Raw genomic sequence first — 18,169 nt, forward strand, 5'->3', positions numbered from 1 at the left:
TTGGCCTGAACAACTTAAGACTGGAGTGGCCATTTATCTATAATAACGGAGTTTCAACAGCTTTAAGATTTCTAGTACTGCCACTTTCACCTGTTGTAGTCATTTAGCTTCTGTTACAGAGATAAATGGTAGCCTGGGAATGAGGCTTCCCATCCCATTGCTGTAATAGCTTCCAGGCATGGAGAATAAAGGACTTGCAGCAGTTCAGAAACTATCATTCCCTAGAGTTCCATAGGGGAGATTCTCACTCATTGCCCTGGATACCAGGTGGCTGGAACCACGCCATTAGTGTGTCTGTATTCTTAAGTTGGGCATTTGTAACTCTAGTGATGGTAGTATTATTTCTCCTTGCTCTGTCAACAAATATAGCCTTAAAAAGAGAATTGATTTCCTTTTGAGGAGAATTTAATATTCTAGAATCTAGGCCATTAGAACTTCTGCTAAATGATACACCAGAAGCTTTAAAGTCCAAATACTTTCCCAAAAGATAGCAAGCCTGTTATATAACTAGAATATTGTTTTTAGTTTCATATTAGGGTGGACCTTTTCATTTTGATGTCTCCTACACCTAAGGGGTATTTTTAAATGAATATGAACAATAAATATAGTAACAATATAGGCTAGAATATCAAGTTCCCAATATTCAACATTGTGGTGTTTGAAATGTTAATATGTCCTTACCATAATTATTGTATGGGAATGGTTGTTATGGATATCATACTGGGTAAATATTTCACATTTCTTCACTCTCCCTCTTCCCACTAGTACTTTTAATGAAGTTGGCTGGAAAGTATTAGTTTTCTGTGTATGTAAAAGTAAACTTTAACACAAGAATTAAGAGTATTTTTAGAATGTTATATAAATGTTTATATATGAGTTTCTTAATTAGCAAGTTGAAAAATAACATTAAGAATGCTAAAGCAAGCTGCATGCAATTTTTCTTTCTTAGCTCCAAGAATAGCATGCATTGCTGTTGTTTATCTGGTTGTTGCTACCCCCTGTGTTGCATAGCTATTTGCATTCTTTCTTACTGACATTATAGAGAGAAGGCCAAGTAGAAGCAGGGATCATGACAGCCACAACATGGTTGAAAGAGGGACCTCCAGCACACAAACTGGAAATGGTATGTAATATTTGAACCTGTAGACTACAACACCTAGAAAACATGTACTGTGACAATTTTGTTTCTTTTCCTTTTTCCTTAATTTTATAACCTGTAAAAAAAAAAATTAAGAGTCAAGGACACAAAGTCAGAGGACTATGGATAAAATTAATAATTAAGGCTGATTTAACATTCATATTATAAGAACAAATTCAGGAGCAGTTCAGGCATTTACAGCTAAACTGAATTTTAACTACACCAAACTGTAAATCCAGTACCACCTAGATAACTAACCCATCCCAAATAAATAATTTTTGACTAAATGGTAAGTTAAATGGAAAAATCACCATCAATGTGTATTTAAAATTATTGAACCCAAATATCAAAATTATTCTCTAACCTGAAAGTAGATATTTGATTCCTTAATTTTGTGATCTTTTTAGTAGCTTGTCATCTCATGTACCACCAAATCTTTATTTCATCATAAGGCCATCTTAAAGGTAAAAAACATGTGTGGAAGGTTTTTTTGTTATTGTTGCTGGTTTTTTCTTGTTTGTTTTTAGAGTCTTAACTATCAATTTATACCAGTCCAATGAGTTTAAATTGGGGATGAAATTTCTATAAATTTAGAGAAATATATGAATCTCAAATATTGGCAAAAGTATTATCAGATAATACTTTCCGCAATATTTTACTAGTAGAGCCTCAGTTTTAGAAAACTAGGTTATATTTAACTCTGATTAATGTGCAAAGGTTACATATTGAATTTAAATTTGTAGCAAATTTTACTTCAAAATTCTTTATTTCTGGTGATCAAGATCCTATCGGCCTTTTTAATCAATTAGAACAATTTTCCAGTCTTGAATTCTTTACCTTGTTAACTCCTGTAATCTGTCTTATTCTTAAAGCGTGATTGGAAGCATCTGCTAGATGACAGTAAACTCCAGTAATTCTTAAGCAGTAAGTTGTATGCTTTTCACTTTCGAGGCCAGAATTATGTGTCCTTGCATCTTAGAAGCCAAACACTCCACTTTGTGTTTTTCTTCAAAATACTTTGATTATATGGTACTCTAGTTTAAATTTTTTTATTTTGCAACAATATTCAACATGGAAAGAGAAAAGACTACCAGACTATGATATTAAATCCTTAACATTTGTTTATTAAATGTTGTACTTTTAGAAAATATTAAGTGATATACTTGTACCTAAATTACCTGCCCAAAGTTGAGTACTTTTCAGTTGATTCCACATTATATCTTGAGGTTTTCTGATGTTTTTGTCATTGTTTCTCCTATAGCCTAGACAGCCTGACTGTCAGGAATGCAGAGGTACAGAACAAGCTGCAGAGCCACTGGCAAAGGAAGCATGTGATCTCTGCAGTGACTTCAGTGATGAAGAGCCAGTGGGAGCCACAGGAATAAAGACTGCCAAAAACAAAGCACCCGATTCAAGTAAAGCTTCCAGCTCTCCAGGACAGCTTACCTTACTCCAGTGTGGTTTCTCGAAATTGCTTGAAACAAAATGTAAAGCAGTTGAGGATAGTGATGGAAATACTGCCTCTGATGATGAAAGTTCTGATGAGCAGCCCACATGCCTTTCAACAGAAGCCAAAGATGCTGGTTGTGAGAAAAATCAGGACTCTCTTGGTACTTCAAAACATCAGAAATTAGATAACATCCTAAATCCAAAAGAAAAGCATATTTTTTATAAAAGTGAGAAGATTTTAGAACAGAATATTTCTTCCAAGTCTGACGAGAAAAAAATTAAAAATACAGATAAACATTGCATTTTACAGAATGTCACAGAATCAGAAGATAGTGATGTCATCTGTCCTACACAATACACAACTGAGAGATTCCCCGACAATAGTATAAGGTTTAAGCCACCCTTGGAAGGATCTGAGGATTCTGAAACAGAACACACTGTAAAAACAAGAAATAATGATAATAGTCGAAACACTGATGACAAAAGAAATGGAATAATTTCAAAAAAGTTAAGTCCTGAGAACACAACCCTGAAATCTATTTTGAAAAGAAAAGGCACCAGTGATATCAGTGATGAATCTGATGACATTGAAATTTCTTCCAAGTCAAGAGTAAGAAAGAGAGCTAGTTCATTGAGGTTTAAGAGAATAAAAGAAACCAAAAAAGAACTTCACAATTCTCCCAAAACAATGAACAAAACAAACCAAGTGTATGCAGCAAATGAGGATCATAACTCTCAGTTTATTGATGATTATTCATCCTCAGATGAGAGTTTATCCGTCAGCCACTTCAGTTTCTCTAAACAGAGCCACAGACCAAGAACTATAAGAGACAGAACTAGTTTTTCTTCAAAATTGCCTAGCCATAATAAGAAAAATAGCACTTTTATTCCAAGAAAACCAATGAAATGTTCAAATGAGAAAGTTGTTAATCAAGAGCAGTCGTATGAATCAATGGATAAATTTTTAGGTAACTAAAGACACATTCTCAAAACTTTAAAAAGTATATTTGTTTTATCAAATAGTTCTGTGAGACGCTTTGAATTAACTTGTAAAACAGCCCTAAAATCAAGATGCTGCATTGAGGCACAAATAAGGAACGGTTGGGTAGCAGGATAAATGGGAGACCACATATAGGTCAAGATAGAGAATGTTGCCATCTACCCCAGGACCCCCTCCATGTGCCCATCTAAATCACAGTTCCTCTGCCCCCATAAATACCAATTATTCTAGCCTCTATAGTAATTACTTATTTACATTTATATGGTTTTATCACCAAATGTGCATCCCCAGGTGAATTAATCTGTTTTCATGCTGCTGATAAAGACATACTTGAGACTGAAGAAAAAGGGGTTTAATGGATTCACAGTTCCACATGGCTAGGGAGGCCTCACAATCATGGCGGAAGGCAGTGAGGAGCAAGTCATGTCTTACATGGATGGTGGCAGGAAAAGAGAGAGAGCTTGCAGAGGGGAACTCCTCTTTATAACACCATCAGATCTCATGAGACTTATTCGCTATCATGAGAACAGCATGGGAAAGACCTGCCCCCATCATTCAGTTACCTCCCACCAGGTCCCTCCCATGACACATGGGGATTGTGGGAGCTACAATTCAGGATGAGATTTGAGTGGGGACACAGCCAAACCATATCACTAGGTATTATGGTTCAGTCTCATCCATTTTGTAAAAATATTATATAGTCTTTTTTAATCTACAGGAATCCTCATCCCTTTCATTGCCTTACAATGTAACTATGGAAGTACCTGGACCATCTCTTACAGAGTTTCCCTCAGTTTGCATTTTGCTAATTGTACCCTCTCCATGCAGTTAAACATGTTCTTCTGTCTTCTATATTACCTGCAAAAGAGCAGTTGGTTCCTGAGACTGGATCAGACTCAGGTTCAGTTCCTTTGGCAAGATATAAGTTAGTGTTTAACAAGACTATAGTAGGCACAAAATGTTTATTCTCTCTCTTTATGATCCTAGCAGCCATTGATACTTAATACCTATACTTATTTATTCATTCAGAGTAGCAAAATATTTTCTCTTTCTTTCGATTTCATTTTCATTTATTTAGAATGCTTTTGTAAAGAGGTACTTCACTACTTCCCTTCATTATTGCTTACCCAGTGGCGCAGTTCATATGGGAGAGACAGGAAAAATGCTAATTGCTTTCTTTATTTACCAGTTTTTAGTATTAAACTAAATATGTCTATATGCCATAAGGATGACCCATTCTTTTCTTAGTAATTGATTCAAACACATTTAGTGGGTCTCAATTCATTGCAATTAATAATATTATTAAGGCTCCATTGTCCTATCTGTGGATAGAGGGGAATCTCTGACATGAATATTTTGGTTCCTGAAGCATTTTGGCATGCTGCTAGTCATTTTGGAAGCTTCCTTGTAGTCTAGTCTTACAAGAGGTTCCAGGAACACCTCATACATTTTCTGTCCCAGACCTACAATCAGTCATTATTCCAAGAAGTCTTGGTTTCTTTTAGAGAGAAAGTGTGTTTCAAGACCACAGTCTGGTGCTAGTAATGAACATTGCTACTGTTGACTTGGTTATTATTTTTGGGCCTTTTCAGTGGCCAGATTTGTGTGTGTGTGTGTGTGTGTGTGTATTTTATATTTATACACATATATGTGTATGTATACGTATATTTGTGATATATATTTTATATATGTATGTACACATATGTGATGATAAAATACCTCGAGGTTATACGTCCATATTTGTATTGATACTTAATTTGAGAGTATAGAGCTCTTATTTAGCCTCTTTATTATATGTGAATACCATTTCTACAATATTGATAATTCTGGTTCTCAAGCATATAGGGAATGATTTACTTTTAATGCCCCATGTTTGCTCATTTGCTTTATCCCATATTACACAAAGAATAAAATAACAGTACTACCTCCATTTGATTGCTGGTAACATTTAGGGTTTATCTGTTTTTGCCTCTACTCTCCCTTTTCTTCCATTTTAAAAATGGATATACTATGTCTTCATTGTCAAAGATACATTGCATTGTATACTACTCCCCTCTTAGACTTCACTTAACTGTTGGTCCACAGGTAACTACACATTTCATGCTCCCCATCAGTCCTTAATGTCAGTCTTCCTCGCATCGTTCTGGTTGTCTGAATCTTACTGTCTAGTAGATTGCTCAAGAAGTGTTCATGAGAATAATATTCCCTGAGATTCTTGCAGTAACAGTTTTGTGCCCTTATACCTAAAAGTTTTGCTGGATGTAAAATACTTGGCTCACATTGTCTTTTCTTGAGCATCTTAAATATGTAGCTTTGTTTTCTTCTGGCATAAAGTGTGGTATTATATGTTCTTTTTTTTTTTTTTTTTGCCTCTCCCTGGATGCCCAGGGGGTTTTTTTCTTTTCATTGTTGTCCAATAATTTTACTAGCTTGTGTCTTCATGTTGGTTATCCTGGGTCCATATTCTGATATACACAGTGTTGTTTTCACTCAAATTTTATTTTGGGAAAGATTTGCTTGTACCAGTGTTTTTAGTTACTTGTTCTATTCCTTTGGTTTGGCTTTCTTCTTCAGGGACTTCTTTTCAGATGTTCAGTCTTCTTTGCCTATCTTCAGTTTTTGTCACATTCTCTCAAATCTTTATCTGTTCATTTTGTTTTGCTTTTTTAAAATGTTGTTTTGTTTCTCTTAAGGCTTATCTGTTGTGTTTATTCCCACTTATGTTCCTTCTAGTTTAGTCTTCATTTTTGAAATTTAAAAAAAAATTTCTAAGTCTTTCCTAAGTTCTTATCACTCATTTGAGTTGCTCTAATTCTGATTTACGTTGATTCATGTCTTTTTCTGTTTTGTGAGCACATCTTTCTAGCACATTTTCATTGAAGGGATATTACTCTGCTTGTTCTCTTTTTTCTCACAATAATTTTTTTGAGATTTGACCCTGCTGCTTTTCCCTTGGTCATTTTTATATGAAATTATTTCCCCTGAATTTTACAAATGAAGCAGAGCTTAGGAAATCTTTTCTCACCTCACAGAGATCCGTATGTTATTTCCATGTAGAGTGCTGCACTGTGGTGGGCTTTCCTCTCGCTCTCTCTCCCTTGCTTTGCTCTAGGTCTTTTCTTGCCCTCATCCTTGTTCTTCCTATCCTACTTATTTTGATTCTCTCCCAGCAGTTTTTCCTCTTTATTGGGCCCTGACCTGGGTGGGAGCCCTGGTGGGTCAGTTTGGGGAGTTCTAGTGGTTGGCCTGCTCCAGCCCCTCCAGGCCTTCTTACTGTGTCCCCTCTGCACCCTCTCAGCATTGAAGAGCAACAAACCTTCCCAGATTCAGCTGCTGTTCTCCAGCTGGCCCCTTGTGCTTTCCGGTGAATACCTGTTGGCAGTTCTGGGGTCTCCTGTTCTTAGGTCTGTCAGGTACCCTGTTGCTTCCTACTTTCACACAGATACTGAAACCATGCAGAGTTCATAGCTAGTGGAGATTTTCCCCACCTGCTTGTACTTTAGGTGTCATGAGGGTATCTTGTTATCTAATTTTGTTGTAAATGTCCATGGGCTTTTGGTTTTGCTGTCTAGTTGCTGTCTGCTTTTGTGTACAGATTCAGAGATTCTCCTGCTTCTTCTGCTGTTACCACCCTCTGCCCAGAATCTGTATGGTGATTTTAAGAGTTAGCATTGCCTTCACAAGTGTCTGACTTATTCCCCAAAAACTATATGAAAGAAGCTGAGATATAAGCAAGGACATTTTGCTATAGAAATCTTAATTTTTGTGTTTGATTATATACAAATGAGGCTTTCTTTGTGGCTATTAGCATTCTCGTTTAAGAGTTAATTATGATTTATATCTTGGTGTCATTATAAATAAGTACTGAATTACCCTTTGGTTGGTGTGCTACAGTTAGATTTTAGGTTTGAGGAATTATTGCATAAACTTTTTTAAATAATCAACTCAGTTTTTTGTTTGTTTGTTTTTACTGTGTAAAAGGTGTCAGTAGTTAATTTGGAACTAATGCTATTTTGAATAATGGTAACGTGTCATCAAAATTAAGAAACATCTGAGTAAATTTTCTGCCATGAAGGTTTTGAAACTGTGTGCCATGTATAGTACCTGGTATTCTGAAATGAAGGAGAATGTTATGCTAGTTACTGTCTCATCATATTATTTAACAATGTTTTGTGTTTGCATGATTGGCAATTTCTGATTGAAGAGGTTCAGGACTAAAACAGCACAATTGTTGAAGGTCATACCTGAGGTTCATTGCCAGAGCTGTTGCAGGGAGCTTTTACAGGCCTTGGTTCTAGCTTTCTCTTTTATGATCACAATTCAAAAATGAATTATAGGTGCCTAGAAGCAAAGCAATAAAAATTGTAGCCATTTTTTAAACCTCTTTCAGATAAAAGCCATGAGTTAATTTTTTTCATTTCCTAAAAAGCTCTCATCTTGACATTCTCTGGGCATATGTACAAAAAAGACAAAATACAAACAGTAAAACTGAGCAAAGCCAATCAAACGAAACTCCCTGGTCATAAACCCCATGCTCTCATTCCATCACTGTAATCAAGTACATGTTTAAAGGAACAGATAAGGTTAGTTTCATTCTTTAAATTAGTGAACATCTTTTTTTTTTTTTAATTAACAATGAAAACAAATTCATAGAGAGGACCCTACTCAACCCTGACTTTTCTTTTGGCCAAAACCTCCATTTCAGGTTTAAAGATTGTTACCTATCAGTAGTTCTCATCTCACATTGATGAGAAGGAAAAGTCATTTCCAAGGTAACCCAGACTAACATATTTGAACTCTTTCTCTTTTCAATATTTTTCCTAAAGAATATTGTGATGTTGATGTTTCTCTTGAGTATTAAAAATAAGAATAATGTGTTTTTATGGAACCATATTGCTTTATACTGATACATCACTTAATAAACATAAATTACCTCCTAGATGGCGTTCAGGAAGTGGCTTATATTCACTCAAACCAGAATGTAATTGGATCGAGCAAAGCTGAAAATCACATGAGCCGATGGGCAGCACATGACGTATTTGAGTTGAAGCAGTTTTCTCAGCTGCCTGCTAACATAGCTGTTTGCAGTTCTAAGGTAAGAAAAATATAGGGTAGTATCATCTTTAGTTACCTCATTTTTCACAGAAGTTACTCAATAGGATCTTCTCTAAGTACTCCCTCAAAAGTAGCAACAAAAACTGTAAGTGACATACAAATAAGTGTAAAAATCAAAACACCATTTGGGAACTGTAGTCATTGAAGACGTTTTAGATTAAACAACAAATTTATACCCAAATACCTAATCATGTTGAGTTGCTTAATAGTTTCTCTCAATAAAAATTGGCCAGTACTCCCAAAATGAAAAGGAATCTGAGGGAATCATGTAGTTCAATCAGAACCAAAACCATTTCTGCTTATATGGAAAAAGGAAAGTGTGTGATTAGGTTGCTCCACAATTTTTCACCTAAAATGAAGACCAACATAGAAAACTCATTTCATATAGAATTTATATTTTTAGCAAAAGGGTTTTTATACTGTTAAAAGTCATAAATACTTCCTATGGGCTCTTCCCACTTAAAATTGCTGTTGTGATATTTTTGTTTATACATAGTCACTTTCATCAAAGGTTTTTAAAAAATATTTTCTTGTGTTTGGCTTATTATTCTTTATTATTTTCTAAGAGCTAAGTGCCTCAGGAGTAATTTTACTATTACTTTATGGGCAAGAGTTCAGAATGCATACTGTATATAATACCAATATTTTATTTCAACTTAGTGCTATTATACTTTTAAGAATGAAGGTGAGGGTAGAATTCCTCTGAACTATCAAGGGAATTAATTTATTCGTACCTCACTGGTTTGACAAAGGAATTAAATTACCTTAACAATAAAACCAGAGTACAAAATGAAATTTAGGACCAGAGAAAATGCAAATTAAACTGAAAGTTTAAGACAGGGAGAAAGTTAGAATGCAAATGCATAGAACATAATATGTTCTACCCAGATATTATATTAAAATGGCTAATTTTATTGACTTTCCTGGTAGAAAAACAAAGGAGGTAAGCTATCTATGTAGTGATATCTCAGCTAGTGCATGTGGAAATGTGTGTGGGCAGTTTGGGTGGTCACAATGACTGAATGCCTAGCTGGCATTAATGTCTGGAAGCCAGGGATTCCAAATGGCTATCCTGGACAGGGGACTGGGTTGAGGGGGCCAATGGGGAGGCACTCCCATATGCAAAGAATTGTTCTGCCCAAAATGCCATAACACCCTGCTGAGAAAGGCTGAGTGAAATGTTTGTCCTTAAGGAAAAAGAAAAAAATAACACTGGTTCTAGGAGAAGCAAAGCTTTTCCTAGCACTCACTTTGAAGGAAATTTGTCACTTGGTGTTTTTTGGGGACCGCAGAACGATATAGTGAAGAGTCAGTTGTCTTATAATATCCCTAGAATAAATCTAATAACAGACTTTGAAAGGCTATCCTTTCTAGCATTTTTCAGTGTAATCCATAGGCCCAGTGCCAGACTACAACTCGTGAAAGCATTCTTTCATGACCCAAATATGCTTTTTATACTCATCTTCTCATTTGATCCAGGAATATACCATCTCTCAACCAACACTTTAAACAGCATTTCTACAGTTTGACTGCCTTGTATGTGCCATCTGAAAAAGACAGGCGGAATTATGTTGGGTTTTCCAGAAACTTGCTTTGTTAGGATAAAGAGTATATCAGAATCTTTTAAACAGGTAGCTAATTTTTTATTAGGTTTTTTTTTAAACTGTGCCCTTTTTTAAAACCATGTCCTTCTCCATACAAACAAATTTTAATGTGAAAGGTCAGATAATTTGGCAAACCGCTGTAGTGGATGTTAATGAAATAACTGGATATACTGGTCATTAGCTTATCTAAATATTTATCAGAGAAGAAATTTACAAGCATATAATTTCTGCAACAATTGATCTGAGAAGCAACCTGTTTCTTAAGCAAAGTTATAAAAACGAAAATGCTGGAAACACAGTTGGCCTGTGAGCTCTTTCAGTCGAAATATTTTTGAGGTGGACAACACAATCTCATTAGAAACCTTGTCTCTTCACAGTGATTTTCAGAGGGAGGGGCATCTCTTGCTAGGAAACAAATTGGAATACCTACTCCCTGGGGGTTATAATATACCCTTCGAGGCCATCTATCTCCCTCATCACACATACACCAACTTAATATAAACCCTTTTCAGAGAAGATAAAGGAATTAGCTGTTTAATGACTACATTGTGGTGAAGTTTTAAAGCCACTAAATGGGAGGTCCATTCCCATGGCACCATTGCTAGCAGCCCAAACACAGTCTGCAGAAACACTCATTTCAGTGGCTGACTTCAGTCAGTAATTGATACAGCAAAATTTCATTCTAACATTTCAAAGCTGTCTCACAGAATTTCTGAGAAAAAAGTGTTCCCAATCACTGATTTCATCATATCGCGTCAATATTACTTCAGCACCTTTAATGAGGAAATCATTGAAACACACTCATCATCTTTGGCTAGAGAGATTTATGTTACTCAGAGGTTTTGCAGCTGGTGTGGCAGTGGGTGGCAATAGTGAATTTGCAGTTTTGAAAAAAATTAAAAAGTTACGAGAAGAAAAGAGAATAAACAAAGAGAAAGGGAAATGAAGCAAGAACAAAAGAGACTCAATCATAGTGTTAGAAAATTCCTGCAAACTTCTTGATCCTGAAGTCTCCAAAAAACCTCAGACCTCCCACCGATGTTACAGTATCTTTCATCTGGGGCTCAATCTAGAATCTTTTCGGTTCCTGGTAATTCCTCTGAGTGCTTCATGTCTGTCATCACAGTTTTATTAAAGAACTTTACTTGTGTTTGGAAAGATTGTGTGCATGCGTGTCTGTAGCCAGTTGCAGACGTATTGTCTCAGTAAGAAAATAAATCCTATTTGTTTTATGAAATCAGTACACAAATAACAGTTGCCACAGTGTACCAGTATTTCAATTTCTAAAGAATACCATAGAGTCTGAATTAGAACCTTTAACTAGATTGCAAAGGAATATACTAAATTGAAAACTTGTAAAAGGGAAGTAATAAACACCATAATCCTAGATAAGATCCTATGGTCTTTCAGAGTTTTTCCATATACAGTAATTATTTGATGTACAGTAATTATTGATAACCAAAATGACAAAAACTGAATCTACTCTTCAAATTCAACCATGTATCTTAAAAAGGAGTAAAATGTACTGTTTTCAGTGTTTCCTTTGGTTTCTTACAGTTTATAATTTTATAAATTAACTTCATAGAACATATTTTATAAATGTTCTGTCTCTCCTAACATAAATTTTGAATTATACCATTGTTATTTGATAGTACAAATTATGTAAAGTAATATGCAAAATAAGAACACATTTTGCCTTAAATTGTATTTTGATATTTTAGAACCATTTCTGAAAACAGCTCATTTTAACAAGACGAGATGTCTGATAACAGAAGAGAAAACCTGTCTGACTTAGGTTTAAGCTCAGGCGAAAAAGAAGTGTTTTAAGCATTTGAAGGAACTGATAATACCTTTATTAGAGTTCATCTGTTCTTTTACTATATGAAAGTATGTCACGGAGCTGAACTGTACCTGTTTGTGATGTGATACCTCCTTTTCTCAGTCAACTGCACGTTTTCAACTTAAGTTTACTTAAAATTTTCTGAAAAGAAATGTACAAAGACAGCCTTCAATTAAGGATTAATCACTATGGCAACTGAGATGTGGTGACTGAAGGGGGAGGATGTATTCTCCCCTCAGTTTCCTGCCAGCTGTCATAGTCAACCTCTGCTGCCTGAATCCAAGCCAAAATATAGACTGTGACCAACTCTAAGAAACTATATCTGTATTTTTATAAATTGGTACAAGTATCAGACTATAAAAGAAGACTTAATCCCTTGAATTGGATGACAGACACTTGGCACTCTTGCAAGTGTTTGACAGAGAAATAACGGGTCGCTTTGTAGTAAAACCTGGATTAATAGTAAGCCCCTCTTTATGTTATTGCAGTGTGGTGTAAATGAGAGAACTAAGCATGCTGTCAGCCTGGGGTGGGAGGTAGCGTGGGGGAGTGTCTTTTATATAACCAGTGCAGGTTTAAGCACTGTTCAGAATACTGTAAATACAAAATATTGTGTTAGTAAGAACTTCTCTTTCTTGTATTTGTATTAGATTGGCATTCTGTAGATTACTTAAAGGATTTCTGTGAGCTACGGTGGGTTTGATTGCAGTATGTTTATACAGCTTTTGGAGTCAGCAAGGAGGGATGGACTGTTTACAGTGAGCAGACTTTGGGGAGATAGAGCATTCCATTATCCTGTTTTTCAGGATAATGAATGGCATGATGCTTTAAAGTAATTGTTCACAAATGGCTGGTTTACAAAGTAGTCCAGTAAGCAAGGTTTATGGTTTCAGCATGTAACTCTTACTGGGTGGGATATTTCATGGTCTTATCATTTTTCTTTTTGTAGCTAGACAGTAATTTTATGGCATTTGTATCAGAAAGTTATCCTTTCAAATAATTTTAGTAGAAATCAAGATTTTAAAATATGTGTATATATATATATGAAATTATGTGACTGGTATTGACACGAAAAAGGTTTTTGTGTTTCTACACCTAGAACTAGGATTGATTGTAGATAGCATTCTGATTCAGAATATAATACGTCATTTGAGTAGAAAATACCTGCTACTTAAAGGAAGGAGAATCCAGTTTTTAAACTATAAACATAGAGACCTATTCCCCTGCTAGCTGGAGGCTACGAGAAGCTGTGGCATCTTTCCACACAGTGATGATACCAGGATTCATGCACTAATGTAACTGATGAGCTGATGTGTGCAAAAGACATTCAACACCTTGCAAGAAAGGCATTGAAATTACTCAAAAAATGTACATTTTTATTATTGTAATTATGATTATTGCTTACCAATAGGGGTGATGCGTAAATAAGTCTCTACAGTAGCCTGCTATTATTTTTGTTGCTAATAGTACTCAGAATATTTTAGACTACCTTAAAAAGATATCTAGTCCAGTCCTTTAATTTTATGTGAAGTACCTGCCTTGAACTGTGGCTGATTTCTAATGAAAAATGCTATAGAGAAAAATGTTTTTGAAAGGAATTATAAGCTAATTTAAAAATGGACTGGGAATGACAGAAATGATCTTTGCTTGTTAGGAAGTAGTTTGATTCCAACTCTTCTCCCAGCTGGTCACTGTTCCAATTGTATAGAAAATAGCTATAAGTCTTCTTTGAACAGTTTCTCTGTTGAGAATAGTCACAAGATCTAAATAGTTAAAAAATAGTAGTTCTTCAAATAATGCCTTCAAGGCAATGATATAAAAATTTAGGAATAGAGGCCTCATTCAACTCTGACTGACTCTAACTAGTGGATTAAAGAATGTTACGCACTTAACAGCCCTTTTCAAATTCTATTTTATCCTTCTCTGAAAACCATAGTATCAATTGGACATGGCCCCCTAATGGAAACACCTATTGCCTTGTCATCTGAAAATCCTGCCTCTGTCTTAGGAATTCTGAATTTTTATAGGTGAATAAAGCAAAATTACAGATTAAAGGAATTACAGTATTTCAGAATTTGAAGGATTCTTGAAGACTATTTAACCCAAACATCTCATTTTCCTAAATTTTGAAAATAAGAGGATAAGTAACTCCCTACAGGCCCCAGGGCTCAACAATGGCCGGAGGCTTACATCGCTGTGGTCTTTGACCCTTTCGTGTTTTCTTGTGCTTTTCCCTCAATTCCTTTGGTGTCTACTTTGTTCTGGCGATTTCAATTTTACTTTTCCAATATGACAAACCAGTCTTTTAATTTTTCAAGATAACTTGTCTGTGAAGAATTACCTTCACTTTAGCAGTTACACAAAAACCTCACATGGGTTGAATGTATCCTTCCTTTAAGATATATATACATACGTATATATAAACCATATACATAACATATATGTTTATACATATATGTATAATACATCATATATACATATAATGTATATATGTTACATATACATACAAATATGTACATCTCTAACATGTATATGGATAAAGTATATATTATATATGTTATATATGTTATGTAACTACATACATGTATGTTATGTATATGATATACATGTTATATGTTATATATGTATAAATATATATTATATGTGTATATATATATGTAATACATACATGTGTGAACTACATAGCTATGTAGTTTTTACTTTTTTCTTCTTAAGCTTTTTTTCTACCTGGAATAACCTTCAGCCTTATATTTCTGATCCCCCAAATCTCCACATCACTCTCCCATTCAAGATCTACCTCAAATGCGTCCTCTCTTCCACAAAGTCTGCCCTAGTTCTTCCCTCAGCTGGACATAAGAAGCCTTCCTCTTACACTCTTTCTGCTTCAGCCAGTAGTACTTTCTATGTCCTGTGATTATTCTAAAGTATGACTTTCAAATTTTTTATTATGATTATATACATATCTCTCTTTTCTAATAAACTCTGAACTTTGAAATAGTAAGATATGTCTGATTCATCTTTGATAACCTAAAATAATCTTACATATAATTAATACTTTATGAATAAATACTTGTGGGATAAAGTCAGGTTTTCAGTTTTTGTCAGGGTACAATGAACCCCACCTTTATGTTCTGAGAATTTTAAAGATGATTTATTCCATGAACAACTTTCATAGTTTCTCTGGAAATTATCTGGAGATGACATTGTTCATTGTTCATTGATTAAATATATTACGAACATAGTTAATCAGTCAGGGGAATGATCTCTTTCTCTCAGTGAGAAGTGTTTTCAGGTTTGCCTGGCAATCATGGTGTTGGATGGATTAACTTATCCTACACCTCCAGCCATATCAACTCCTATCTGATGTTCCACTCCAATTTGACCCAATTCAAGTTCCGTTTTTTCCACAAAGCCTCAGTCTTCAGGGATCACTCAGTTTCAGGTTCCTTTAGTGCCCATTCTCTATGCCAGTCATCACTGTAGATGTGGTATACCTGTCACTGTTGTTACTTACCTCATGTGGATTCGTTTTTTCCTCATGTATGTTACAAGCTACTTAAGAATCAGGACCATGGGACACTCTCATATACTCCTGTAAACACTACCACTTAGCCGTGGGCAGCACAGAGTGGGAGTTTAGAAAATGTTTGTGATAATTCCCGCATGGAAGTACTGCGTGAGGCCAGTCCCTACAACCATTTTCACAAGTTAAGTCTCCTCAACTCTTTGCACCACAAGTTAATGTTAAAGTGAGTATACTGGCTGGCAGCTAATGTAAAGTTATGAGTCACCTTTGAGCAGCATAAATGCTGGTGTTCTTCATTGTCATTATATGTCATCTGTTGGCCATAATGCTGGTATAGGAAATCCATTCAAGAAGAGAGAACATGAAGAATGATGTCAGAAAGATATTCCTGGAACCCATGCATCCTCATATAGCAATAATAAATCTAGAGAGTCATTGTGTGGCTTCCAGAGTCACTTTGTATCTTCCAAAGCTGTCAAGTGTCTTATTGTGTCCTTTCCGTAGTATACGAGGCCTGTCTCAATTGGGCCCTAGTGTGCTTTTCTAGTCTCATTCCAAGACACTCACCTAATCAAGATTATTGACATGAATTATGTACCAATAATCTTGGTACATACCAACCACAGAGTATGTACCAACAACATAGTAAAAAGCTGTGAGAGCAGATTCTATTTATATTCTGTTATGTACTAAACACCAGGGATACGAAGATGAACAAACAGGCTCTTCTTAGACAGCCTTCAGTTTGTGAACTATTCTCCAAACATGCTTAGGCCTTCCAAGCCTTTGCTTCTATGGTTCCTTGTTTAAAATTCCTTGTCACCTGTGTCTGCTGATTGAACTCCTACCCCTTGTATCATCTGTGACAGCTCTCCCCCAACTCTCCTCCAAAGCAGTGTAAATTTTTCCTCATCTTTCTCTTTACTTGTGTGTGTTTATCTGCTATAGCCATTATCTCATTGTATTATACAATACTATATGCATATGTACAACATGCTTTTGAGTGCAGGCAATAGAATAACCATCAAAAATTGGGCTATATAGTAAGTCACTAAACTAATTCAAATAACAGCAGGTCTGGAAGGAGGCATTTTCAGGTGTGACAGCCCCATGACACCATAGGGATTCAGGCTCTTTCCTTTTCTGCCCCACTATCTTTAGTAAATTAACTTTTAGTCCTTAGGTCTTTTGTTTCATGTTGCCAGATAACTACTGCAACTCAAGAACTCATTTCCTCACACAGATGTATTCTGAGGACAGGGATGTATGATTGTCTTCATATATCTCTCTCCTTTTTTTTTTTTTTTTTTTGAGACAAAGTCTTGGTGTCACCCAGGCCAGTGTGCAGTGATGTAGTCTCTGCTCACTGCAACCCCTGCCTCCCAAGTTCAAGTGATTCTCCTGCCTCAGCCTCCTGAGTAGCTGGGACTACAGGCACACATCACCACAGCTGGCTAATTTTTGTATTTTTAGTAGAGACGGGGTTTTGCCATGTTGCTGAGGCTGGTCTCAAACTCCTGACCTCAGGTGATCCACCCACACTGGCCTCCCAAAGTGCTGGGATTACAGGCACAAGCCACCATGCCCAGCCTTATCTCTCTCCTTTTGTCAGGTATATTAGTCCATTTTCACATTGCTGTTAAAGACACACCAGAGACTGGGTAATTTATAAAGAAAAAGGTTTAATGGACTCACAGTTCCACATGGCTGAGGAGGCCTCACAATCATGGTGGAAGGTGAAAGTCATACCTTACATGGCAGCAGGCAAAAAGAAAAATGAGAGCCAAGAGAAAGGAGCAACCCCTTATTAAACCATCACATCTCATGAGACTTATTCACTACCACGAGAACAGTATGAGTGAAACTGCCCCTGTGATTCAATTATCTCCCATCGAGTACTTCCCACAACACAGGAGAATTATGGGAGCTACAATTCAAGATGAGATTTGGGTGGGGACACAGAGCCAAACCATATCATTCTGCCCCTGGCCCCTCCCAAATCTCATGTCCTCACATTTCAAAACCAGTCATGCCTTCCCAACAGTCCTCCAAAGTCTTAACTCATTTCAGCATTAATTCAAATGTCCACAGTCCAAAGTCTCATTTGAGACAAGGCAAGTCCTTTCTGCCTATGAGCCTGTAAAATCAAAAGCAAGTTAGTTACTTTCTAGATACAATGGACGTACAGGAATTGGATAAATACACCCATTCCAAATGGGAGAAAATTGGCCAAAATGAAGGTGCTAAAGGCCCCATGCAAGTCCAGAATCCAGTGGGGCAGTCAAATCTTAAAGCTCCAAAATGATCTCCTTGGACTTCATGTCCCAACATCCAGGTCAAACTGATACAAGAGGTGGGTTCCCATCGTCTTGAGCAGCTCTGCCCCTGTGGCTTTGCAGGGTACAGCCTCTCTCATGACTGCTTCCATGGGCTAGCATTGAGTGGCTGTGGCTTTTCCAGGTGCACAATGCATGCTCTCAGTGGATCTACCATTATG

The 18,169-nt window shown here is 36.1% G+C and overlaps 1 protein-coding gene across 13 annotated transcripts in view; it reads left to right on the forward strand.

Moving 5' to 3' along the window:
* The window catches only part of ERCC6L2 (ERCC excision repair 6 like 2), a 165,402-nt gene that overhangs the window by 93,843 nt on the left and 53,390 nt on the right, over nucleotides 1-18,169 (forward strand). For 8 of the 13 annotated variants that reach the window (NR_164677.1, NM_001375291.1, XM_047423357.1 and 5 more), the window contains 3 exons: nucleotides 1,043-1,123; nucleotides 2,400-3,555; nucleotides 8,528-8,682. Coding sequence is in view for 12 of the 13 variants with exons in the window: in NM_001375291.1 (NP_001362220.1) it covers nucleotides 1,043-1,123; nucleotides 2,400-3,555; nucleotides 8,528-8,682 (1,392 nt within the window). In the remaining variant the exon portion in view is untranslated. The other 5 variants (NM_001375294.1, NM_001375293.1, XM_011518646.4 and 2 more) reach the window with 5 other exon arrangements.

The sequence above is a fragment of the Homo sapiens genome, chromosome 9 (assembly GCF_000001405.40).
Source record: "Homo sapiens chromosome 9, GRCh38.p14 Primary Assembly".
In the NCBI taxonomy this organism is placed as follows: Eukaryota; Metazoa; Chordata; class Mammalia; order Primates; family Hominidae; genus Homo; species Homo sapiens.